Source organism: Homo sapiens, chromosome 9 (assembly GCF_000001405.40).
Source record: "Homo sapiens chromosome 9, GRCh38.p14 Primary Assembly".
Classification (NCBI taxonomy): Eukaryota; Metazoa; Chordata; class Mammalia; order Primates; family Hominidae; genus Homo; species Homo sapiens.
Window position 1 is genome coordinate 92791569 of NC_000009.12, and position 26551 is coordinate 92818119.

Genomic DNA, 26551 nt, shown 5'->3' on the forward strand with positions numbered 1-26551 from the left:
AAACTGGGCTGTGAAGGGATGCCAACATGGAGCACAGCACTGCAGGAATTTAAGGGGCACATTAAAGTAGGTCATATCAATGCCCACCTGAAGAATCCCTCCCAGGATCTGTGATCAGATCCGGTAGGTGGATATCCTGGTGAACAAACTTGAGGTGGCCACCTAGGTTCAACAAAGGAGTGGGTGACAGTGCAGGGATGGGCTGCTCAGAAACATGTCCCTCCTGCACCCTCAGAGACACAAATGCCAACAAGAAATGCCTTGACAACAAGAAGATGGAGACCACAGGTGGCTAAGGGGCAGATTCCCCAGAGGGAGAACACCGCACATGCAGCTGGCAGGTGGACTGTACGGGACCCCTGCTGGTAGCCCTGGAGGGAGTTTATAAATGGGTTCTGGCAGGAATAGACACTTACTCTGGACTGAGCTTTACCTACCCAGTGGCAGATGCAAATGCTCAAGATACTATAAAAGTACTGAGCAGAAGTCACTGTATCAATGTGTGTCACTAAGTTACATACCTTCGGACCAAGGAACACACTTTACAACCTACACAGGGCAAGGAGACATCCCATCAAATGGGTATATCATGCTGCACATTATCCTCAGAGTAGTTTGTGAGAGAATTGAAATGGGCAATGGAAATGTTTGTTATCTTACATGGGGAGAGATAAAAGCGTGAAGGCTTACACACCTCCATGCATGTGTGCTCACACTTAACATGTGGTGGTCAAGGAGGATCCCCACTAGATAGATCCCTCCACTCTTGGGGTGATCTGGGGAAGATGGCCGGGAAGGATGCTGCTACGACTATGCAGTTCTTCACAACAGCACCTCAACTTTCTTGTCTCCTACCTGCTGAAAAGAGCCTGAGATCAGGCCCACAGCTGCAAGTGTTGGAAGCATCTGCCACTGGGTAGGTAAAGCTCACACTACCACACCTAGCTAATTTTTGTATTTTTAGTAGAGACAGGGTTTCACCATGTTGGTCAGACTGGTCTCGAACTCCTGATCTTGTGATCCGCCGGCCTTGGCCTCCCAAAGTGCTGGGATTACAGGCATGAGCCACCGCACCCGGCCAGAGGCAGGAATGATTCTTAAGTGAGAAACAGTTGTTATATCTTTTAACATTTGTGTCAGAAATCCTAAAGGTCTGATGGGATAGCTGTGCCTCCACTGCATCTGGCAAATCAGAGGTGGACAGTGAGTGCAGCTGTATCTCCTGGTGGTCAGGGCAGCCTCACAGTTCGTCTCTTTGCAGCCCTACCTTACATGACTGGAAATGGCCCTGCGGGAGGCACCTGCTGAAGTGGTATTGCTGCTGGCCATCTGGGCCTACACTGCTGGCCATCTGGGCCTACACAGTGGATGAACCTAACATCCCTTCATCCTTTCTAAAGGTGTGAAAGTTGGGTGAAAATCAATGACAAATGGAGAGAAGGAGAAATAGTAGCTGAGGGCAAAGGAATGAATAAATGGGTTATGCAATGAGAGAAACCCAACAATATATTGGTGCCTCGAGGTAAGCTCAGAGCAAGGGAATTATATTGTCTCTTAGCACAGTTATACCAGATGCCTGAAAGGGTAAACTTGTGTGTTTGTCAAACCATCCCTGTTTTAGGAATCTGACAAGGTCGAATAGCAACCTGCAAACCTAGTGACATCACTGTCAGAGACACTGTGGTCACACGACGATGACCAAGTGGAACTCTAGCATCTTTCAACTCTGACTTTTCAGGGTACATCTACAACAAAGGGTATCTTTTGGGAAGGGTTTTTTGGGAACTACTCCCTATTGGGGCATCAGACTGTGTAGTGTATGATTGCTGGTTGACTGACTCCTGTGTAACTATAAACCCAGGTGATCAGAGGCTTACAAAGTTCTCCCTGGTTATCTTGGACGACATAGAATGGTGGCCTGTCCAACATGCCACAGTGTGTTGTGCACAGACACAAACCACCCTGTTCTGTGAATGGAAAGCTCTTACACAAACCAGGAAAAACCACTGGGATGGTGATGGAACTAAAGCAGTAGGCATCACCCGGTGGGTCCAAATTCCCCAAGGGAGCAGCCCCTCCATGCACAAGTAAGACAATGGAAACCTCTATGACATATTCAGACTAAATGACAATGAGGTGTGACCACGACTTACAAAATGCAAGTATGGGGAAACCCAATACTTTTGAGTAATGAAACATGTATCCTAACTGCGCTCAGCCACGAGGACACAGTGGCAACAGCATGCATGGTGGCCTGAACACTGGCCCACCAGACAGAAAAGGGCCTTAGGGGAGACGGGTGCTGGCCTCGGCTTCATGGGATGAGCTGAATTTGCTTTTTTTTTTTTTTTTTGAGGGGGAATCTCACTCTTGTTGCCCAGGCTGGAGTGCAGTGGCGCAATCTTGGCTGTCTGCAACCTCTGCCTCCTGGGTTCAAGCTATTCTCCTGCCTCAGCCTCCCGAGTAGCTGGGATTACAGACACCCGCCATCACGCCCAGATAATTTTTGTATTTAGTAGCGATGGGGTTTCACCATGTTGGTCAGGCTGGTCTCAAACTCCTGACCTCAAATGATCCGCCCACCTTGGCCTCCCAAAGTGCTGGGATTCCAAGTGTGAGCCACCGCACCCGGCCTGAATTTGCTTTTGATGAAGAGTAGCACTCAGTGGGGAAAAATTTATTGAAAAAAATAAGCAGATTAAAGGGAGCAAGGGGTGGGAGTCAGCCTGGGAGGACAATGAGGCTTCGGTGAAGTGGGTTGGGTAACGTTGGGTAAAGCTAGCACCCAGTGTTGGGAAAGGGCTTCTCCCTAGATCCAACAGGGTTACTTGACTATTTTGTTACAGATGGAGGCCAAAGTGGCCGTGGGGCAGTGGCCCTCTGTCCTGGTTGCTGAGGCTCAAGGGGCCCACCTGTGGGAATCGTATGGGTCTCCAAACCTATGGAAGCTCTCTGAGAGCTCTTGCAACTTCGACCAATGCACTCTGCTCTGGATAACCCACATCCTGTAGTATAATCAGCAGGAAAAGGAACTAGTCTGAATACCACCTACATCCCTGTAGGAGAGAGTATGTGAGCCCTGCTATATAACAGAAGCCAGTCCTGCAATACAAGCCTGTGAACTAAGACAAGGCGACTGACTTTGAAGCCCAGGAATTACCGAGTCATGGTCAATCGTTTTTTTTTTTTTTTTGAGATGGAGTCTTGCCCTGTCTCCCAGGCTGGAGTGCAGTGGCATGATCTCCGCTCACTGCAGCCTCCACCTCCCAGGTCCAAGAGATTCTTCTGCCTTAGCCTCCCGAGTAGCTGGGACTACAGGCGCTCACCACCATGCCCGGCTAATTTTTGTATTTTTTAGTACAGATGGGGTTTCACCATATTGGCCAGGCTGGTCTTGAACTCCTGACCTCATGATCCGCCCACCTTGGCCTCCCAAAGTGCTGGGATTGCAGGCGTGAGCCACCACGCCTGGCCTGTCATGGCCAGTTGTAATGATGCCTGGTCATAATAATATCTGCCATGTGAACACCGGCGGATTCTATTGGAAAGGCATAGCAAATGGCACTTAAATTATGACTGATTTATTCTGTGATGAAGCTAAATTGTGCCATGACCATACTGCAGTGTGATGCAACACTGCATTTTTAGTAAGATAAGAATGACACATTCCATGTTTCATAGCATAGTATAGGAAAAAGGGAACACATCAACTTTTGCCATCTTCCTGACAAGCCAGGAGTTAAAAATAAGTAAATTAAATAATAATGAAATCTAATCCTGTAATTTCTAAGCAAACATTACTTTGACTTTAATCAATAAGGTTATTTAAAGTTCATTGAAAAATCCATATTCCTGCGTTTAGACTCATAAGTATTAACCAATTACAGAAGAATATAATACAAATAGTTTCTAAATGGACATAGAATTTAAATTCAGATTTTAATGAACTAACTTCTGGCACTGTAGAGCACATAATGTAGTCAGCATTTTGCAAATGTTGGAGTGTATACTTAGTAATGGAGTTGGTTAATAAATGTCAATGCAGTGAGACTGAGAATGGGATAGATTAAAACTTTCTTTTATTCTTCTTGCCAGCTCTGTGGCTACATGGGTGTGAACTGGAACGAGGCAGAAGGGATCTATTTTTCTATTTAGTGCCAATGAGCCCCCATGGATCTACGCAGTGTGCTTTGTGCAGATGAAGGTAAAATCCCTCCCTGAGAGCAGGTCTGTGCTCACGGGTGTCGTTGGTTTCTCCATTCACAAGCGTCAGGTGGAGCTTGGGTGGAAACCACCTTGATTCTTCAGGGCAGCTGCTCTGGTTTGTTCCATTTTTAGAGTTAGATTGTTTCCTTTAAGAGCCCTATACTTCACAGTAACAGACTCTGATTTGGAATTTGCATTCATTGTTTATTTTATTTTGTTTTTGCCCAAATAAGAAATTGCACATTTTTCTTTGCACTCTAAAGTCAAAAAGCCGAAGTGGGAATCATTATAAATGCAACATTTGAGTTCCTGTTATAGCTCCTTGTTCTTGGAAATGTTTCATTTGCATCAGGGTCGTGCCAGACATGGTAATGAAGGCCCTGAACAGAGGGAGAACCATCAGGGACTGCTGTGTGAGGAAAGCGTGGACTTTCATCCTGAAAAATGAATGTATCCATAACAACATCCTCAAACATAGACAGCTCTGATTAGTGCTCCACGAGCCCTCTCTCTAAAAACATCTGAAAATGCATCACTCTTCCTGGGGCTCACATGAATGGGGTAAATCCTTACGAAGGAGGGGCCTTGGTGCTCAGGAGGTGAAGCGCACGCCATTCTCCAGGTGTGCACGTGGGTCCGAGGAATCAGGAGCTCAGGCTGCACAGCCCTGCCGCTGCCAATCACTGCTCACAGCCCCTGAGCCCTGCTCAGAGGCAGCAGCATTTCCTACTAGGGGCAAGGTGCAGCAGTCACCAGGACACCCTGGCTCTTATTTGCAACTGCTGCATTACCTAATAGCCACCCATGGCTTCACGAGGAGGGATGCTCACAGCCCCCTGCAGAGCAGCCTCCAGGTTCCAGCCCCACAGGGAAGCGTCTGCCGTGACTTCCACCCACACAGCCTCTGCTTCCACACAATCACCCTGAATGGCAAAGGCTAAACACTTTGGTAATCCAAAACAGTAAACCCCAATTGTGCTACTCATAGTCCAATTTCTAAAATTTTACACTACAGCTGTTGAAAAATTCTAATGTTTATTTCACTGCCAGAATCAGCAGGGTAATGGACGTTTCAGCAATAAACATCATGAGCAACACATGAAATCTAATTAGCATTATTCCAATTTGCAACAGTTAAGTAAGTTATTACTCTGGGCTTTCTCCCCCCTAGATACCAATGCTTAGATTCTTGTAAAAATGTCAACTCTAGAAAAATCCTCTTTCCACTTCCAATTTTTTCTAATTCAATCTGTTTTCTAGTATTTCTTTAGAAACAAACTAATGAAATTCTCTATCATCCAGCTGTATGTACAACAGAGTGAGCTTTGTGACGCCCTCTGCACAGGAGCAGTATCCGTGAGACAAAAGAGTGGGACTCTGTCACCATGATCACAGATGAAGGATGCCGGGACACTCTGTCAAAGGAGACTCAGAACTCCATATAGGACGCTTGACTAAGATCCCAGGTACTGTCACCATGACTGTCACCCACAATTTTCCCAGGAGGGAGACACCAGTAGGAAAGAGAACAGCCCCTGTGATGTCAGGGCCAACCTGTCTCCAGCCTCCGTTCTGCTAAGTAACTCTAGAAGTTCCTCTCCTGTCTCTGGCCCAACTGACCATGTGTCAGATGCCTGGGAAAAAGGAACACAGACTTGATGATGATTCCTGGTTCTGAGCTCATGTCGCTGTGCTCCCAGGCTGTTGACACAGGCAGGACCCCTGGGCTTCTTGGATTCAAGCACACAGTTAATAACACAAACCCTGACAGCCTAGGCTTGAGCTGGGGTTCGTTGGGGGTGGGTGGCAGTGGTAGGGGAATAACTTAGGAAAGTTATTTAAGCTGCCTGGGTCTGAATTTCCTTGTCATAAAATAGGGGAAATAGTTGTACTTACATGGCACATCTGTGATGTGAATTAAATATCTGGCACCTACAACAGTGCCTGGCCCCCAGGATTTGGTGTGTGAAGAGTCCAGGTATTGGTACGAGTCCATGTCCACTGTCTTCCCTGATCCCCAAACCCAGGTGCACCCATTAGTAACTAAAATGAGGCAGACAAAAGGGATGAGTGATGAGCGGCAGTGGTTGCCAGAGGTAGGTCCAGGGACTATATTTCTTAAGACATTCTGGGTCAGGAATAATTACATAGAATGGAGCCAATAATTCCAAATCCATGTATTTAGTTAATAAGCTTTTATTTAGGGCATGCAGGTGCCAAATTTTGTCCCAGGCACTTACATATATTTAATCATTTAGTCTCCTCACAACCCATGAGAAATAAACATACTGTACTATCATTATCTACAAAGAAACATGGAATAAGACCCTAGAGAGAGCCTCCAGCAAAAGGGTGTCTGTGATCATTGTACATTTTTCAAAACATGTTCAATGACAAAAAAACCAGCTTTATAAAGTGCATGTTGAACTGTGATATAACTAGCAGTGCATCTAAGAGTGAAACAATGAACATTAAAAATGAAAGGATCCTTGGGAAACAATCCAGCCCACCTTTTGTCTCTGTTTTGGTACAATTGTGTTTTTTGTAAGGCATGTTTTTGTTCCTTCACAATGTACTATTTACAGCAAACAGCAATATTTTTACCTTTCCATCTTTCTGTCCTCCCTGAAAGCTAACTCTCTAGAGGGAGAGAAGACAATATGGGGTTTGACGCAAGGCGGTGCCCCAGCGCCAGGGCAGAGGGATGCACAGGCCTTATAGGAGCCCTTAGGGGCAGCGGGCGGGGCAGCTGCACAGACACAGCCTTGGCGTTGTTCAGAAGGAGGGACATTCCAGGTGCTGGGCGAAGCAGAGGAGGTGCAGCCCTGGGGCAGAGCACAGTGAGGCTGGGCATGCGGCGGGCTATGGGCACCTTCCTGCTCGGGGACTTCTGAGCCTCCACTTGTTGAAAAACAGAAAAAAGCCAAGGCTCAAGCCAGTAGGGGAAGGAACCGCAAAGGTGTTTTTGCATGGTTAAAACAAAGAGATGATCGAAATATGATTTCATGGATCTGTGGTTCATCCCCATGCAAAGAGAATTTTTTTCTTAGGTTCAGAACGCTTAAAGAAGATAACATGGTGAACAAATCTCCCAGGGAATCCACTTGAGAGATGAGGCACACTGACCACAGATCAGTGAGGTCCTCAATTATTAAAGTCTAGTTGCTCCGTTAGGATGAAAGTCTCTGTGGGAAGTAACTTCTAATTAAAGCTTGAGGTGTTCCTTTATATTAGCAGTTCTTGAGGGAAACTGGCTTGGCCATCACAGTGGAGACTGGAGAAGGCCGGGGTGGTCCCTGGATACTAGAGGGAAGTTGGGGAGAAGTGGTGGACAGTGCAGCCCTCTCACAGCACAAGCTCCTGGTCATCGGAGAATGGCTGACAGAGTAAACCCTGCCATGACCTAAGCTCTTAAAATGTCTGTCAAACTCTTAGGTTTATTGGACTTGGGAGTCCAGTAGTCGAGCTCAGTAACCCATACGGGGTCTGATAAGCTGTGATGTCACATTCCCGATGAGAGGAGGAGTAGCTCCAAGTTCTCATGTATGAGGTCTTGTTCTCCATGGGAGGGGGAAATACACTTCCAGTCCTTACTGCAGCAAGGCATATGTTATCCAAAGGACCACCAGAATGGCTAGAGAGTAGAAAACAGAGTTTTATTGGCAATATCAGTTTGCAAACCAGGGAGAGATCATCTCTGGTAAGAACCGAAAGTGCTCTCTTTGAAGAACAAAGAGAAGATTAGAGGTTTTATAACAAGGAGAAATGTTATGTATTCCTCTTTGAGTAAGTTCATTGGCACTAGGAAGGGTTTGGGGAGCTGGCAAGCTCTGAATGATGAGCAAAGGTGGTGGGAAAAATTAGTCACAGAGTTGTAGCAAGTTATCTCAGAAGCTAAGGATAAAACTGGTCTCAGGTGGCAACAAGCAGTTCCAGCAGTCAGGCTTGCAGAGAATTACATTTTTGGAGCAATGTTTTGTACCATGAGTGCTTTATCCTCTGGCTTCTCAACTCTGTTTTAGTTGGATGTGATAAGAATGACATGAATATGTACATTTTTGCAGCACTATGTATGATAGCAAAGACTTGGGACCAACCCAAATGCCCACCAATGATAGACTGGATAAAGAAAATGTGGCACATATGCACCATGAAATACTATGCAGCCATAAAAAAATGGGTTCATGTCCTTTGCAGGGACATGGATGTAGCTGGAAACCATCATTCTCAGCAAACTAACACAGGAAGAGAAAACCAAACACCACATGTTCTCACCCATAAGTGGGAGTTGAACAATGAGAACACATGGACACAGGGAGGGGAACGTCACACACTGGGGCCTGTCAGGTGGTGGGGGGCAAGGGAAGGGGGAGCATTAGGACAAATACTTAATGTATACGGGGCTTAAAACCTAGATGATGGGTTGATAGGTGCAGCAAACCACCATGGCACATGTAACAAACCTGCATGTTCTGCACATTTATCCCAGAACTTAAAGTAAAATTAAAAAAGGAGAAAGCTAGTAACTGGTCTCAGAGCATCTAGAAACAAACAAACAAACAAACAAAAAAAGAATAACCCAATTTGTATGATCAACCTTCACAAATGTATCATTCAGGTAGCAAACTATGTAAATGTTCGGAGTAATTTCAAAGCTGCATAACCAAAGGAGAGCAGGGGGACTCAGAAGGGCAGAAGACAGGAGCAGGCAGGGACATGCCCAGGCAAAGCCCTGTGGCAGCTTAACAAGTGTTGAGGAACTGAATCCATGTGTGATACACCTGAAAGAGAAAAGCACTTTCTTTTTTTTCTTTTTTCTTTTTTTTTTCTTTATTTTTTGTGACAGAGTCTCACTCTGTCGCCCAGGCTGGAGTACAGTGGCGCGATCTTGGCTCACTGCAAACTCCACCTCCCAGGTTCAAGTGATTCTCCTACCTCAGCCTCCCAAGTGGCTGGGATTGCAGGTGCACGCCACTACGCCTGGCTGATTTTTTGTATTTTAGTAGAGACGGGGTTTCACCATGTTGGCCAGGATGGTTTCGATCTCCTGACCTGGTGATCCCCCAACCTCAGCTTCCCAAAGTGCTAGGATTACAGGCGTTGAGCCACCGCGCCTGGCTGAGAAACACACTTTCTGAGGCTGCTTAGGTGCTCCTTCATGCACAGGCCCAGGGCACTAGGCTGGAGAAGTAGTTCGACAGTGATTTGTGGGTCCTCTTGTTTATTCACACTCCAGTGACAAAGGCACAGTGGAAAATCTTCTTTATTAAAGTAGCTGTGTTTGTCTGTTGGGCCACCTTAACAAAGTACCACAGAGTGACCTAAACATCAGGAATTTATTCTCACATGATTCTGGAGGCCAGAAGTCTGAGACCATGATGTCAGCAAGGATGGTTTCTCCTGAGGCCTCTCCTTGGCTGGCAGGTGCCATCTTCCCCCTGTGTCTTCACACCAGCTTCCCTCTCAGCATGTCTGTATCCTAATCTTTTCTTAGTAGGACACCAGTCCAATTGGATTAAGGCTCACCACATGACCTCATTTTAACTTAATTACCCCTTGAAAGACCTTATCACCAAATACAGTCATAGTCTAGGGTACTGCAGGTAAGGGTTTCAACAAATGAATTTTGGGGTAGGACACAATTCATCCCATAATAGTGAGATAATTTTATTTATAAAAAGGTAGTTATAGGTCAAGAAATGCACCTGGAAATTAAACTTTTCTTTGGAAATAAGAACCCATTAAGAACCCAATTAGGCCCATACAGGCTAATTGCCTGATAAAGATCCACAAAATCTTGCCTATATAAATGCCTTCACACTTCTCCAATGCTTTACTGCCAAAAGCCAACATTTTGTGAATTTGGAGTGATTGGGTTCAGAGCAAACTTTCCAGCTATATGTGAATTTTTTTGTTACTGATGCCTTATTTAGTAGATCAACCCAGCAGAACTTAATTATTGTTTAAAATGCTTTTTAAAGAAATGATCAAAATGTATGTCGTGGTGTTATGGGGGTAGAGGGGGAATTTCATCATTGTCCTGTTCCCAAGTGTGCATCTTTTTAAAATTATTATTATTTCAGTAGCTTTATGGAGTACAAGTGGGTTTTGGCTACATGGATGAATGGTATAGTGGTGAAGTCTAAGATTTTAGTGCACGAGTCACCCAAGTAGTGTTAATTGTACCCAATATGTAGTTTTTTTAATCCCACATCCCTCTCCCACCGTTCCTGCTTCTGAGTCTCCAATGTCCATCATAACACTTTATGTTTTTGCCTACCCATAGCCAAGCCTGCAGCTTAAAGGAGTTTCCATGAGGTAGGAAAACAGCCTGTTCTGATTATTTCTCCAAGTCCAAGACAGAGGTACAGATGTGGTAAACTGGATCTGGAGAAAAAAATTCCATTAGTTTTGTTCCAGTGGTTTCTGTCCTCTATGTCAGTTAAAATCTAAGAAAAAGCAATTATTCCATCCTAATGAATTAAGAATGCTTATTAGAAAATGCATTAGTGAGCATGGAATTTAGTAAGTATTTGGAGTCTGGAAATTATCTTATATATAAAATGACATTTAAAATACTTTCCTACCAAAAATAAATCACATGGATTTACTAATAATATGGAATGAAAGGTAGTAACACATATTATTTTTCATTTCAACAGATTTGGGTTAACATTTTGGTCACATTTTTCTCTAATTAGCATTTGAGTGTTAATGTGAGCTTTCCATAAATAGGTGCAAGTTACTTTACCTTTTCCATTGGTTCCCCATGAGATATCATTGTTGTTCTTACATACACATGAATCTATTGAGCCCTATTCTGTATGTGATGCTAAATAATCCTCCTAGCCCTGGGTCTCAGACTTCCTGCTCATGTTAAATATTTACTCCTCTTAGTAAGAGGAGTAAACGAAATCACAGACGAAAAGCACTTTGAAGAACTCAGAAGATGTTAGAGCAAACTTTCTTTCCCTGTCCTCCTGTTTTCCATGTGGACGCTTCCCTAGTGTAATCCTGGCTATCCCTTTCCCTCCGATAGGAGTGAATTCTCTGATTAATCAATAGCAAGGATCTGGCATCCATCTGTTTACATACCTTGATTCGGTGCAGTTAATGATTTATTTTTATTTTTATTTTTATTTTTGAGAATAATCAATAGCAAGGATCTGGCATCCATCTGTTCACATACCTTGACTCGGTGCAGTTAAGGATTTATTTTATTTTTATTTATTTTTTTTTGTTTTGAGACGGAGTCTCGCTCTGTCGCCCAGGCTGGAGTGCAGTGGCGCGATCTCGGCTCACTGCAAGCTCCGCCTCCCGGGTTCACGCCATTCTCCTGCCTCAGCCTCCCGAGTAGCTGAGACTACAGGCGCCCGCCACAGCGCCGGCTAATTTTTTGTATTTTTAGTAGAGACGGGGTTCAACCATCTTCGCCAGGATGGTTTCGATCTCCGGACCTCGTGATCCGCCCGCTTCAGCCTCCCAAAGTGCTGGGATTACAGTCGTGAGCCACCGCGTCCGGCCATCTTTGTCCATCTTTGTCCATCTTAATGAAAACATAATTTGCAGCAATGATATTGAGATTCACCTGGTGTATTAATATTTTAACAGAAATTTTATGAACTGAATTACAAGCTATCAGGTAAATCAAGTAGGCCACAGGTTCAGTAAAAAGGAAAGCACCTTCTGAACGTTGATCCTAATACCTGTGAGCATTCATGCTCTGAAATTATAGCTGAGCGCACACTGTGTGCCAGATGCGGTCCTACGTGCAGGGATGTACAATGCCCAAGGAACTGCCGGTGCCAGGATCTGGGCTTGTCAAAAGGTGCCTTCGGTGTATGTGAGGAGACCTATCATGGGGGACACACTGGAAAAACCACCAACATGGTCCAGCGCAATCAGTGAGGCAAATGCATGGGGAGGTGGAGAGCGAGAGCTGCAGAAGGAACAGAGGCTCCATAGGGAGCCCAGAGTGGAGAGAAGCCCCTGGAGGGAGGGGCTATGGAGGTCCTGGTGGAAGAAAGCCCGGGGAGCCCGGTGGGTGTGGATTAGGGTCAGGAGGGGATCAGTGAGTGAAGAGAAGCATTTCAAGGAGTGTGTGTGTGAGTGTGGATGTGGGTGTGTGTTTGTGAGAGTTTGAATTTGTGTGTGTGTGAGTGTGTGAGAGACTGTGGTGTGTGTGATGTGAATGTGGGTGTGGGTGTGTGTGAGCATGAGTTTATGTGTGTGTGTGAGAGTGTGTGAGAGACTGTGGTGTGTGTGATGTGAGTGTGGATATGGGTGGTTTGTGTTTATGTGGCATATGTGAGTATATATGGAGTGTAGTGGGCTTGGTGTGTGAGTGTGGTATCAGTGTATATATGGGGTATCCATGGTGTGTGTGTGGAGTGTATGATGTGTGTGTGGTATGTGGGTGTATGGGGGATGTTTGTGGTGTGTGTGTGTGAAATGTATGTGAGTAGATGGTGAGTGCCATGTGTGGTGTAAGTGTGTGATGTGTGTGTGGTGTATGTGAGTGGTACATGAGATGAGTGTGGTATGAGGATGTGTGGTGTGTGTGTGTGGAAGTTATGTGTGGTGTGTTTGTGGTATGTGAGTGTAAGTGTATGAGGCATGGCGGTGGTGTGTGTGGTGTCTGTGTATGTGGCGTGTGTGTGTGAGTGGTGTGTGTTTGAGAGTTTGTGTGATGTGTGTGGTGTGTGTGATGAGTGTGTGTTCACGGTGTGTGTGTGGAATGTGTGTGTGTTCTATGTGTGGTATGTGAGTGTGAGTTTATGGGGAGTGTTTTTGGTGTGTGTTTTATGCATGTGGTGTGTATGGTTTGTGTGTATGTGGTATGTGTGTGAGTGGAGGTGGTGAGTGTTGTATTTGTGAGAGTATGTGTGATGTGCATGTGGTGTGTGTGGGGGTGGTATGTGTGGTATGTATGGTATGAGTATGTGTCTATTGGGGTGTCTATGGTGTGTGTGTGGAATGTGTCAGTGCATGGTATTGTGTGATACGTGAGTGTGAATGTATGCGGGAGTGTTTGTGGTGTGTGTGTGATGCATGTGGTGTGCATGGATGTAGGAAGTGAGTGTTTACAGTGTGTGAGTTTGTGTGATGTGTGTGGTATGCATGTGGTATGAGTGTGCACGTATTGGGGTGTTCATAGTGTGTGTGTGGAATGTGTGGCGTGTGTGGTATGTATGTTAGTGTAGGTTGTGGGTGTGATGCGTGTGTGGTGTGGGTGTGGTATTTGTGGTATGAATATGTGTGTACTGGGGCGTTCATGTGTGTGATGTGTGTGGAATGTGTGAGTTTTTGGTGTGTGGTGTGTGAGTGTATGGGGGCTGTTTATGGTGTGTGTGTGTGTGTGTGTGTAGATGTGTTGTGAGGGAAAGTGTGAAATGTTTTGCTGGGAAAGGAAGATCATCAGGTAAGAGAACTGTAGCAAGGTTACCGTAGCAGCAGGACAGCAAATAGATCATGAGGTGCATTAGAGACGGGGAGACCAAAGCAGTTATTACTGGCAAGTTGACCCAAGTAACTGAAATCTGCAAAGCTTATGATTGACGGAGGAATTATAGAAAGTCAAAATACACACATGCACAATAAGACTTTCTGATTCTGTACCATAGGCTTCTTTTTTAATATTTTTATTTTGTAACATTATCTTAATAGCACATTATTAATAATATTTTGAATAATGAAAATACCCAGTACAAACATTTTTCCCTAAACTATTGCTTATCTGGTGATGCCACCCAAGGTCAAGGACCAGGGTCACATTTCTGTTTTTATACTTCAGGTCAATAGGAGCAATAACAATGGCTAACATTTACAGAAAATCTATGTTCCAAGTCTTATTTACATATATAAATTAATTTAATCTTCATAACAGTCTATAAGGTAGGTCACTATTATCTGTTTTTAGAGACTAGGAAACTGTGACACAGAGAGGAAAAGTAAGTTACTCACTATCGCATAGCATGAAGCTGTGGAATGAGAATTCCAACCCAGACACTCTGCTTGCAGCCACTCCACCCCAATGTCTACCAGAAAGTGTGGTTCAGTATTTTGAAAGAATGCTGGTGGATTCATCTTCATTTATATACCTCCACTGTGCCTCTTGTATGTAATTCTGAACATAAAATTAGAAAAAACCTTCACCTGAAAACAGAGATATTCCCTCAGCAATAGCATAGGCATGTCATCATGCCCTTGAGCTAGCTAGTCATAAAAATTCTTACAGATCACACAGTAGGTTTTGTAGACAATAATGACCAGCCATGGGCAGACACAGAACTCCCCAGCCCAGACTAGTAGGGTCAAGTCTGCAAGCACAACGGAAGCTCCTTCTTGCTGAGATAGGTGACTGGAAACAAGACCACAGTTCCCACGTCCAGAGGCAGTTGCGACTCAAGTGTGTTTAGTCTCCTGGGCCTGGAGGAGAGTAATGGGCAGCCCGCTGGGCTGTAATGGCCATCTGCCCGCCTGCGGTTTCTGCCCTGATGCGCATGGTCCCTTCCTTCCTAGCCAGACCGTGTTCCAATCACCTAGTTCTAATCGGCCTTGCCCCAAGTGCATCAGATGCTGCTTCAAGTTTCAATTACACTGTATAAACCAGGTTTCTGGAGAATTCCAGCCAGACAGTGATCCGAGGCACTCACCCCGGACCCTGCATATGGAATCTGACTCAGATCTATGTTGTATTCACAGCACCTGCCTAGTGATGGCAATTTTGTCCAACAGCACCTGCCTCCCCTCTCCGGCTCTTTGCTCTTGGGTAGTCTCCCTGACACCTGGCCTTTGTGTCTACCTCAGGAGCTCCCAGCAGCGCTGGTAACAGGCACCAAGCTTCTGAGTAAAGCCTTGGGCCATAAGTCATGTCATTCATTTTACTACTGGTGGAAGATAAAACACCAAAAATCAGCCAAAGAACTGTTCCTTGGAGAAGTGCCTCAACATTTGGAGGGGTGAGGTATACTCACAGGAAATTTTATTTTTATTAGGCTTCCCACAAAATATTAATGAAATACTCATAGTGATTCTCCATCTTCCATTTATATTAAAAATAGTATATTTTAAATGTATCAATTTTGGCTGGGTGCGGTGGCTCACATCTGTGAGTCACATCTGTGACTTCGTTACAATTAAAAACTTTTGCTCTGGGAAAGGAAATATTAAGAGAATGAAGAAACAAGCCACAGACAGGAAGAAAATATTTGTAAAACACCTGTCTTGCATCCAGACCATTAAAAACCACTTACAACTCAACAATAAGAATTCAAGCCACCCAATTAGTAAATGGACAAAAGATCTAAAGAGGCTCCCATCAGAGATGGCATATAGAAGGCGGAAAGCTTATGAAAAGATGTTCGCCCTCCCCGCGCTTTTCCCTCCCTGCGTCCCTCTCTCTCCCACACACCCTCCGCTGCAGCGAGAGTGGGAGCGGGTCAGGGGCGGTAGGCGGTGACGGTGACTTGCTGTCTCTCGTGCGAGGCGTGGGATTTAAGCGCATTATAAGCCGTGGGTCCCGGAGAATCCCGAGAGGCTGCGCTTGGAGCCCAGACTGACGCGCTTCTCTCATGGTTCCGGGCCGCTGCCCTGCAGAGCCCACCTTACTCTTACTCTCCACAGGCCTGTTGGCCGCGGCGGGCCTTGGCTCCCCTGAGCCTGGTGGGCCTGCAAAGAGCTGCGTCCAGGAGCCGCCCCCAGGGAACAAGCTGCCAGCGGGCCTGGGGAGAACCGCCCGTCCGATGAGCTCGGCTGAGCGTGCACGCAGTGCCGAAATCAAGGACGCCTGGATGCTTTTCGTTGCAGAGTGACAAAGGTTCAACAACAGGAAGAGGATCAGGGGCCAAGACAAGAAGCTGAAGTTCGGCCTGCCAGGAACCCCGGGCCCCAGCATCCCACCCAAGGCGCTGCTGCAGGAGTTCCAGCTGCTGCTGAAAGGTGCGGTGCCGCAGGGCCAGAGTGCGGGATCCTGAGCCCTGCATGCCAGTCCTTGCGGGGGCCGATCGCTGTGAGCCTTACTCAGGTCCAGCCGCCTCCAGGGAGGACAATGTAGACGAGGTGCGGGGCGTGAGGGCGGTGCTGGCCGCACCCCTGGTCCTGAGGCCACGGGAGCCGCGCGAGGAGGCCGCCTTCCACTGACGCCTGCACCGGGACCGGTTGCTGCAGCGGTGCCAGCTGCAGGAGCTCCGCGTCTGCTGCTTCTCCGACGCCAGGGCGCCGCCAGGATGACAGGTGCAGGAGACTGTGGCTGTGGGCAGATGTGGTTTCCAGCCCCAGGTCCCCGCGGCCCCTGGCTTCCCAGCGCGCTGTCCTGTGAGCAAGAAGATGAAAAAAGCCACCCGATCAACAGGTCAGCTGCCCCGCCTGGCAGCCCAGCCAGACAAGGCAACCGAAGTTCATCCTCTCTGAGTTGACTTCGTGCGGGCAGCGGGCCGGCGCCCAGGATGCTGGGGAGCCCTGCGCGCCGGAGGCCGACAAGCCGTGGGGCTCAGAGGCGCCTCAGGGCGAGAAGGCACCCGTCTCCCAGCGCTTTCACCCCCTGGCCTGCCCGGCCCGCGTGGTGTCCCAGTGGCTGCGGCCACGCCAGGCATTCTGCCCCGCGGCGGCTGCACAGGGACGAGAACTGAGAACCCCTGCTCAACCCCATCCGGGGTGACTGCCAAATGCCTATGCCAGCGGCCCCGATCTCCCTCCGGTGGAGGAGTGGGGGGAGACACGGCCTGGGGGCCTCAGGCTGGGCGCGCTGGCGATCCCGAGGCCGACCAGGTCATGCACCTCCAGTCCGCCTGGGCACCCAAGCTGCAGCCGCCTTCTGTGCGCAGACAGCAGCCTCCAGGCAATCCCCGAGCCCGCCCGCACTCCCCGCATCTCAAAACCGGGGCTAGAGGTCCCTGTAGCTGCGGCCAAGCCAGGCGGTCTGCCCTGCGGCGGCTGCACAGGGGCAGGAACCGGCCCTCAGACCCAACCCCGGTGGCTGCAGAGGGCCACTGGCTAGAGGTCCCCAGCTCCAGCAGAGGAGGAGCTGGGCGGGGGCAGGGCCTGGCGGGCTCTCAGGCCAGGTGCACTCGCGATCTAGAGGCAGCCCAGGCCATTCTCCACCACCTGGGCGCCCAAGCTGCAGGCGCCCTCTACCTGCTGGCAACAGCTGCCTGGCCACTCCCAAGCTGGCTGGCGCTCCCAAGCCTCGCAGAACCGGGGCTAGATGTCGCCGTGGCTGCGGCCAAGCCCGGCGGTCTGCCCGGCGGCGGCTGCACCGTGGCTGGAACCGACCCCCCAGTCCCATCCCCCATGGCTACGGAGGGCCCCTGTCAGCGGCCCCGATCTCTCTTTGGAGGAGGAGCGGGGCGGGAGTCACGGCCAGGAGGGCCCTCAGGCCGGAAGGGATGCACGTCTGCGATTCCGAGACGTCCCGCGCGAGCCCAGGAGAACCCGCAAGCCAGCAGCGCCTGCGCCCGAGCTGCAGCAGCCCCCTGCAGGCCACGCGGGCTCGGGAGCGGTTTCCGGAGTCCGAGCTGGCGCTGAGCTGCAGGCGCGAGCCTAAAGGCTTAGCCGGGGCCCACGCTGTCTGAGAGATCGGAGCGTTCAGCTACAGGCACGCGCTTAACGGCTTCGTGGAGCTCACTCGGTCTGAGAGGTCGGAGGCTGCGAGTGTCGCTGCTGAAGGCTGTGGTGGACCAGGCTGGATCGCGGATTCTGAGCTACATCGCGGGTTTGGTGGTGGATCTTGGATTTGGGGGTGGATCGCGGGTTTGGGGGTGGATCTTGGATTTGGGGGTGGATCGCGGGTTGTGGGGGGGATGGCGGATTTGGGGCTGGGTGGGGGTGGAAAGGCCACGAGGAGCCGCGGCGGCTCAGGAGCGGGTGGTGGGCGTCTGAAAAGTCGCCACCATGAGGAAGCTCTTCAGCTTCGGGAGACGCCTGGGCCAGGCGCTCCTGGACTCCATGGACCAAGAGTACGCTGGTCGGGGGTACCACATCCGGGACTGGGAACTGCGGAAGATCCACAGGGCTGCCATCAAGGGCGACGCCGCGGAGGTGGAGCACTGCCTGACGCGCAGGTTCCGGGACTTGGACGCCCGCGACAGAAAAGACAGGTATCGGGGGCTCAGCCTGCGGTGGGAGGGGGCCCCAGGCCCGGCTTCCCTGCAGCCCCTGGGGCGGGGGCCTTGGAGGGCCCCGGGCACCCTCGGAGCCGCGGAGCCAAATGGAGCCTCAGACTGCTTTCCATCGCTGGCAATTCCCCGTCTGTAGCACTTGGTGGATAATTTGATTTAACTCACAAAGTTAAGCATATACACGTTTAAAACATGGGGCCATATACATGATAGGGAGGTGCCTAATGAGAACTCATTCCCATGTCAAAAATACCATGAGCCATTTTCAGTAGGCGAAGAGTTCTCAAATTAAACCCTGTGTCAGTTTTAAATCCGAATCCACCTAGGTAGATAGGTTCTTTACTGGGGCTTCTTAGAGGGACACTTGGAAATGGGACGTGGGTTCCTTGAATGAGAAGACTCATTTTTCTCAAAATGTGAGCTCTATGTTTATCAGATTTACATAAACCAAATAAAAATATCAAGGTTTTATCATTTTTGCATGACACTGTCTATCTTACTATTGTGATGATATTTAAAAATGTTCATAATGGAGTGAAAAAAGACTTGCTCCTCTAGATATCAAAATGTGCTATTAATTCTCACAATTAATTATTTACTAACAGCTGAAAACACAGATAAATAAATGCAACAGAATAGGAAATCCAAAAACACTGAAATATATGTAAGATATATACATAGGGATTGATAATGGTAACATTTCAGATGAGTAGGAAAGGATGAGTTATTAATAACATGCCTGCTGTGTGAAGAAAACTAATGGAATTTTATGTCGCAAAAATGAGTTCCTGATGGAATTTAGACTGAAATTTTTACATATGCAAAATGAGAAAAGTACCAGAAGAAAATACAAAGACTTATATATACAGGTACATTTTATGTTAATAAAGGCCTTCCTAAGAATGACCTCGCAAGCAGGCATTCTGAAAGTTGATTTAGCAAACTAAAAATTAAAATCCCCTGTGTATCAGAAAAAAATTAACAAAAGGTAACACACTTGAAAAATATTTACAATATATATTTTTACTAATATATAAAAATATATATTCAGATGAAAAGTGTATCTTCATCCTACAGGGAAGTTATTCTTTATCATATATAATATGATATATATTACTGATTATATATATAACAAATTGTATATATTACTAATATAATATGTTATATGTATATCAGTTATATATATACAGATAAAAAGCACATCTTTATTTTACAGGGAATTCTTTCCAATCAAATCCACAAGAAAAGAACTCTAAAAGTGAGCAAAGTACTTTTTTGCAGATCCACAAGTTACTTATGTACATATGAAAAAATCCTTAGTGTTTCTCATAAGAGAATTTAAGTTAAAAGAGGAATGAGACTGTGTTCTATCCACAGTGTTTGTGAGAATGAAGAGCAGTGGTACTTACACTGCTGCTTGACGTTTAAGTTGCTGATGACTTTTCAAGTAGATAATTTGGAGATAATTACCACATTTTAAAAATGCATATGCCCTTTACCCACCAATTCCATTGTATTAAAATACCTTCAGAAAATAGAGATACATGCACTTTGTTTTTCTCAGCATTTATGTTAACAAGAACCCATAGAATGGATATGTGGCCATTGAAGGTGGCAATAGGTGGAGAAGTATGTTGGTGTGTGAGGATGTATTGTTATAGCCAGTGAGGAAAAAAAATCAATTTGTTTGCACATACACACAAACATACTGTGGTCTTGTGTTAGCCAAAACTATGTACAAAAGAGCATAAAATTAGTAACTTCTGAGCATTTGTATTTTCAAGTCTTTTGTTCTTTTTTCTTACCTTTGATTTCTGAAGTGAGCATTTCTAAAACTTCTAGTAAAAATTTATTATTAATGGAATAATTTTTGGGAAGAGAGAAATATGAATCTTGTACAGATAAAAATAATTTCTCACTTTTTTTATCATTATTATTGAGGGTTGTTATCTCGTTTGAACTTTTAGCTTCTTCAGAAGTAAAAAGGGAATCTTTTTACCTGTGCTTGCAGATTTTATTATGTACATATTATGTATATATGTTTTTCTTATGTATAGATTCATTACATATATGCAATGATAGATTAATCATTTCATTATAGTTGTAGTCTTATAAAAATAACAAATAGCAAATAGTATTACTATCACAAAAATACTGGTTTATAAAAGTTGTATTTAAAAATATTGAGCTCCCCAACTGTATTCTATCAATCCATTTATTCATCAAACATAACCTGAATACCTGTTATGTAGCAAACATTTTACCTGTTATGTAGCAAACATTTTGCACTATCTCTCAGGACCCTTCCATACTTAAAAACTTTGTTTACCTGTTCTGCCTGAGCAAGATGAGAGATTTAAAATGGGAATAGTAGGACTTAATCTCCTTGAAGCTTTTCCTCCCACCTTTCAAGCAAAAGCATTTCTGAAGGTAGAAAACAGTAAGAGATAACCTTTAACTGCCCTTTTGAAAATCTGTCAGTCTTAAATACTAATATGAATAATTGGAAAGTCTGATTTGCATATATTCTGTAAATCTAAGTGTTGACTAAAATGAGCCATACCTGTTCATCTCAATCATTAGTTTCCTTTAGCTTCATATTTTTAAAAATCAAAGAAGTAATTTGTTTAAAAAATATGTTGTTATTTCAGTGCTCTTTCCCCATGGTACTTTTAGGAATTAAAATGTATTTAAGTGTCAATTAGATGCCTAGAACTGCCCTAGACCTGCTGTCTATACCGTATTTGCTTAATGTAAGGCCTCATGGATTGTGTGATACCCTACTGTTTTCTATATTAATAAGATGATTTTTTAAACGCTACCAATTGTAGTTATAAAAAATTATGAATTATAAATGCCATTCCAATATCAGATATACTAAAATGTGACCTAATCTTTAAATCATCCTGCAAAATGGCAATAATTGTATCATTTTACTTAATTAAAATGTTTTTGTTAAGTAGTAGTAATAGTAATAATTGTAACATCTGGCTGGGTGTGTGGCTCACGCCTGTCATTCCAGAACTTTGGAAAGCTGAGGTGGGAAGTTCCCATGATGCTAGGAGTTTGAAACCAGCCTGGGCAACAAAGTGACATTCCTACTCTACAAAAATTTTTTTAAAATTAGCTGATCATGCTGGTGCACTCCTGTGGTCCCAGCTACTCAGGAGGCTGGGGCAGGAGGATTGCTTGAGCCTATGAGTTCCAGGCTGCAATGAAGTATAAACACCATTGCACTCCAGCCTGGGCAACAGAGCAAGACCCTGTCCCAACAAACAAAAATTTAACAGTTATTGAGCTGTTGCTTGTTCTGGAGATGGTTCTAAATGATTTACATAGATTTTCATTTAAGCATCACAGTGGTGTCCCGTGAGCTAGCTGTTGTTGTCATCTTTATTTTATTAATGAGGAAACTGAGGCACAGAAAGGCTAAGCAATAGCTGGTACCTGACCGAGTTCAAAGTAGAACTCAAACCCTAGTTGAACTGAATGTAAACACCAAGCTCATTCTGTCCAAATAGGCTGCTGTTTCATTAAGGTAGGGGGCAATAAGAGCTAATAAATATTGTACTTTCTTCAAAAGAAAATTATTTGTTTTGAAGGCAGAGGAATAACTTGCTATTCACTGTTTACAATTACATGAACCATTGTAGGTTTTGAGATACTGCACTACCATTTCCTGACAACTCCTCTCGCCCTCCTAGGACTGTTCTACATTTGACCTGTGCCCATGGCCGTGTGGAAGTGGTCACCCTCTTGCTGAGCAGAAGATGCCAGATCAACATATATGATAGACTAAACAGGACACCTTTAATGAAGGTATATAGTAGCCAACTTTTTCAGCATGAAATGGATTTGATTTAAATACATAGAATTAAAATGAATTTATCTCATTTAAATATAACTAGTTGGTGAAACCTGTGGAATATGTATTTTGAATTCTTAGAATTTATAGTCTAGTTTTTTCATCTGACACTAATAGGCTGTACACTGCCAGGAAGAGGCTTGTGCCATTATTCTCCTGGAACATGGCGCCAATCCAAACATTAAGGATATCTACAGCAACACTGCTCTCCATTATGCTGTGTATAATAAGGGGACTTCACTGGCAGAAAAACTGCTTTCCCACCATGCAAATATTGAAGCACTAAACGAGGTACAGATCAATCAACTTTCTTTTCAAAATACTTGTTTTAACATTGACATAGGTAAGAGTCAGTTTTTCATATTTGGAACTCAAGTGTTCCCGAATAAAAATATTTTGAAATAAATTAATTGTCTAAAATTTTACCTTAAATATTGATACTTTTAAAGAAGCTTTTTTAGTGCACTTATGGGAAATATTTGTGAATTTGTTAAGCTAAAACTTCTTCAAGTATTTGTTTCCTACCCCAGGTGTAGGAAAATACTAATTATTTTTCTAATTAGTATTAAAAAAAATCACAGGAAAAAAGTTACCCTGGAAATAGGCTTTATCTTAAAACCAGCAATAGCTGGTACGTGACCGAGTCCAAAGTAGAACTCAAGCCCTAGTTTAACTGAATCCAAACATCAAGCTCATTCTATCCAAAACAGCAACTTAAAATAAATGGAAGTCTTGCTGCTGCTGACGGTTTTCTAACAAAAGGGATGTATCTTTCATTGGCAAGGTTTAAGAGGGAAAAATGGGAAGGGAAAAGGGAAGCAATCAAAAACATGCAGGTCAGTTGAAAATTAGGTAATGAGAGAAAATACCAAGAAGAGGTTTTGTTTTTTAGTTTGTTGTTTTTCCAGTTTATGTATTGAGACAAAGCACTCTTCAGCTTTGGGGTAATCATTTTTGGTTTGGTAAAAGAGGGATTGAAACTTGCCTAAAGATTAATTTTTAGAGGACTCTGAGGAAACCAGATTGGCAGTGAATATATGGTGATGAAGTGAGAAACACTTCAGCAAAGGGTGGAACAAATTAGTAACTGACTTATTACCCATCCTGGCAAAAACAGCCACTTAGATAAGAGTCTAAACTCTCCTTTCAAATCTAGAATGTCTTGGTGGGAAGGTGGGAGATAAGGAGCTTATAAATAGCAAAATCAACTGGGATTTTGAGTTTACTTATCCCTGTTATAACCACACCCAGGAAAATTCACTGGCGTTTTAATAAATAACTCTATCTCATACTCTTTTCTCTTTCTGGCCACATCCCAAGCTGATAAAGGATATTGGCCATGTGGGTGAGAGATGAAACTGAAGCGATCGTCTGCCACAGTAATTCTCAGCTAGAATTGTGCATTACAGTGACCTGGGGAAATTTTGTTAAAAGTCTACAAGTGTGGGCTTTCCCCTGAGGATTTTGATGTAATAGATCATAAGTTCTGAACATGTATGGTTAAAAATATTTTCTTGAAGCCATGCACAGTGGCATGTTCCTGTAGTCCCAGCTACTCAGGAGGCTGAGGTGGGAGGATTGCTTGAGCCTAGGAGTTTGAGTCCAGCCTGAGAAACATAGTAAGATTCTTGTCTCTTACAACAACAAGAGCGAAAAATAATAATAATAATAATACCTCAGCATTCGAATACACTCCTGATTAAGAAGCACAGAATAGATAAGTGCAGTATATAAATTCCCATATCTCAAAGACATAAGAAATCTCTGAAAGAGTTGGCATTTGATAGGTACTACTTTCTTCAAAGTTCTCCTTTCCAATAACATTAGCCTGACTTATCTGTCTTTCTCTATATTTGTGACTGGGAAGTGAAAGGAAGTATCATAGGCAATATCTCTCAGCTGACAGAATAACACCTTTTGCTTCCCACCAGGAATCATTCACTGCCATTCAGAAAGTCTTTAGCAATTTACTTGTGGGTAATCTTTCAATAAGTAGAGGCTGACCCTTTCACAATTTCATGTTCCTTTGTCACCATTCAAGTGATTATGTGTCAACAAATGTTCATTACAAGTGAGATTTTCTCAATTACATTAGCAGCAAATCCTGAACCTTTTTTTTTTTTCAGTTGAAGTTGTATTAGGGACTATCTCAGTATGTCTGTTAAGTTTATAGAGCTTTGGCATAATCAGGATGTCAGTTTTAAACACTGAAATCCTTGAAGTCAGTGAGAATACAATAGGAATTCTTTTAGTAATTTAGTTTCAGCATTCCTATGAACTAATTATCTATTTGGTTAACAATCTGGGAAAACTATATAAACATAGATTGCAAACGAATAAATATTGGGAAAATTCTTGAGGTGGATACTATGAGTCTTAACAGCAATTTTTATTATGTATATATCAGAGCCTGAGTTTTTTTATTAAACATATGCTACTACAGAAAGAAAAGGTTCCACATGCAAATACTTGGTTTATACACAATCATTTAGCAACACATTCATAGCAAATATAAAAATACAAGGGCTATAGTCTAAGTGTGGCATATAGATTTGTTCTTTGCCTCTTTAAATTGAGTCAACATGTAAAATTTAGTAGACTCATGCAGATATCTGGACCTCAGGCTTGTCTTAAGAATCAAATCTAGTGTCCCCTGGACCGCATCACTTCTTGGTCTGCTGTGCAGAGGTTGCCCTGTGTAGGAGGCACATATTCTCCAGTATGCTACTGTGCCCACCTGAGTACTTCACTTACTTAGGTAACCTCCTTCATCCTTATAAGTATTGGAGCTTACAACTCCTTTTTTATAGTATGTTTTCATAAAGATTTCAAGGTTTTCAAGACAGCATATATTGGTTCATAATATATAGTCTATAGTTTATATAAATCCCTCAATTATAAAGTTGAATTTTAGAATTCAGAAGTTTTTTTTTTAACTGTTTTTTTATATCTATACCATAAATAGTCATCTGCTTATAGGAATGCCTAGAAGCCTTTTTAGGTTATTCCTGCTGGGAAGTGGATAGATTATGAATATTGCAGGATTATATCTTTCTTCTCAGCAGTTTCCCTTAAAAATGCAAGTGACGGCTGGGCACGGTAGCTCACGCCTGTAATCCCAGCACTTTGGGAGGCTGAGATGGGTGGATCATGAGGTCAGGAGATCGAGACCATCCTGGCTAAGACGGTGAAACCCTGTCTCTACTAAAAATACAAAAATTTAGCCGGGCATGGTGGCAGGCACCTGTAGTCCCAGATACTTGGGAGGCTGAGGCAGGACAACGGCGTGAACCCGGGAGGCGGAGCTTGCCGTGAGCGGAGATCATGCCACTGCACTCCAGCCTGGGAGACAGTGTGAGACTCCGTCTCAAAAAAAAAATTCAAGTGACTTATTGGCTTTTATTATGCTAGAAATAAGCCCTATACATCAGTATTAGAACTTTTATTGATAAGCCATTGTATTTTTATTTCTGATTTATATTTTGCCTGAAGTAAAAAAAAGTTAAATAGCAATTTAAATGGAAACCAATACAAATGGATTTAAAAAGTAAAGTTGCATTAGCATCCCAGGATTATCATTATAATTGAGAATAAAATTTCTTACTGAGCTTTGCTTTTTAATATTTATTTTCAAAAATTTTTAACTGGTCTCTCTTACACAGAACATACTGAACTTTCTAATAGTTAAGATAAAAATCTATCCTCTTGTATTAGGAAAAATCCCATGGACTATTTAATAATAAGGAAAATAAGTGCATTTGAAGCCAATCTCTCTTAATTCACAGCTCATTTCCTTAGTGGCCCCTTTGGACCAGGAGTGCCTGACATTGGCATCCTGACACCATTGATAGAAGTGAATCAAGCAAGTTTGTGCCACCCAGAGGAAACCTCCACTTGTACTGGGAAGCTCTGGCAACAGGATCCCTGAAACTCTAGTTCCTAAAATGTTAATGTTTGCCACAAAAAGTATTGTCAAATTGAGATTAGGCAAAGTTCAAGGGATTTCTAGATTGTTGGCCATGTAATACAGTTTTGTAATACTTCTCAAATGCAGATGATCGTGGAATCTTTTTGTTGGGGTACAGTTCTTCTGGTAAAACAAATATTCTTTGAAATATAGTTTAAGAAACACTGCTCTAAAGATAATAATTTAGATCATTAATTTATTTTAAAAACGTAAAGCATTCGCTACTATGTCTTAAGTTTTAGGGTTATAGAGAAAAAAGATACAGCCCTTGCCCTCAAGAAGTTCTTGGTTTCAGTGGGAAACAATGAAATAATTACAATGTACTGTGCTAAATGCTGAGATAGAAGCAAGGATTTTGGGGATTGGTAAACATAGTGAGTTTTGGAGATGACCGAA

The 26551-nt window shown here is 44.2% G+C and overlaps 1 protein-coding gene, 1 long non-coding RNA gene and 1 pseudogene across 3 annotated transcripts in view, besides 6 other annotated features; 2 read left to right on the forward strand and 1 right to left on the reverse strand.

Annotated features, from left to right (window-relative positions):
- Window positions 6498-6998: an enhancer, noted in NCBI's record as "H3K4me1 hESC enhancer chr9:95560348-95560848 (GRCh37/hg19 assembly coordinates)". NCBI's record gives its function as "activates a minimal SCP1, AML or CMV promoter by ChIP-STARR-seq in naive H9 embryonic stem cells {active_cell/tissue: H9 hESC(naive)}" and the evidence as "EXISTENCE:reporter gene assay evidence [ECO:0000049][PMID:30033119]".
- Window positions 6999-7499: an enhancer, noted in NCBI's record as "H3K4me1 hESC enhancer chr9:95560849-95561349 (GRCh37/hg19 assembly coordinates)". NCBI's record gives its function as "activates a minimal SCP1, AML or CMV promoter by ChIP-STARR-seq in naive H9 embryonic stem cells {active_cell/tissue: H9 hESC(naive)}" and the evidence as "EXISTENCE:reporter gene assay evidence [ECO:0000049][PMID:30033119]".
- Window positions 8866-9115: an enhancer, noted in NCBI's record as "active region_28604". NCBI's record gives its function as "activates an Ori minimal core promoter by ATAC-STARR-seq in GM12878 lymphoblastoid cells {active_cell/tissue: GM12878}" and the evidence as "EXISTENCE:reporter gene assay evidence [ECO:0000049][PMID:35858748]".
- Window positions 9281-9781: an enhancer, noted in NCBI's record as "H3K27ac hESC enhancer chr9:95563131-95563631 (GRCh37/hg19 assembly coordinates)". NCBI's record gives its function as "activates a minimal SCP1, AML or CMV promoter by ChIP-STARR-seq in primed H9 embryonic stem cells {active_cell/tissue: H9 hESC(primed)}" and the evidence as "EXISTENCE:reporter gene assay evidence [ECO:0000049][PMID:30033119]".
- On the reverse strand, window positions 13817-16519 carry LOC101929748 (uncharacterized). The gene has a single exon (NR_136301.1). It is a non-coding gene; the product is annotated as an uncharacterized LOC101929748 (long non-coding RNA).
- On the forward strand, window positions 15740-17888 carry LOC124902211 (translation initiation factor IF-2-like). The gene has a single exon (XM_047424309.1). It carries the CDS (start codon window positions 16978-16980, stop codon window positions 17728-17730), a length of 753 nt encoding a protein of 250 aa, XP_047280265.1. The 5' UTR covers window positions 15740-16977; the 3' UTR covers window positions 17731-17888.
- Window positions 16132-17022: an enhancer, noted in NCBI's record as "H3K27ac-H3K4me1 hESC enhancer chr9:95569982-95570872 (GRCh37/hg19 assembly coordinates)". NCBI's record gives its function as "activates a minimal SCP1, AML or CMV promoter by ChIP-STARR-seq in primed H9 embryonic stem cells {active_cell/tissue: H9 hESC(primed)}" and the evidence as "EXISTENCE:reporter gene assay evidence [ECO:0000049][PMID:30033119]".
- Window positions 17381-17450: a silencer, noted in NCBI's record as "silent region_20034". NCBI's record gives its function as "represses an Ori minimal core promoter by ATAC-STARR-seq in GM12878 lymphoblastoid cells {active_cell/tissue: GM12878}" and the evidence as "EXISTENCE:reporter gene assay evidence [ECO:0000049][PMID:35858748]".
- A 154-nt stretch (window positions 17889-18042) lies between the features above and the next one.
- The window catches only part of ANKRD19P (ankyrin repeat domain 19, pseudogene), a 28847-nt pseudogene continuing 20338 nt past the window's right edge, over window positions 18043-26551 (forward strand). The window contains exons 1-3 of the transcript NR_026868.1: window positions 18043-18302; window positions 22028-22142; window positions 22306-22479. The product of NR_026868.1 is annotated as an ankyrin repeat domain 19, pseudogene (transcript). The remainder of the gene's footprint in view (window positions 18303-22027; window positions 22143-22305; window positions 22480-26551) is intronic.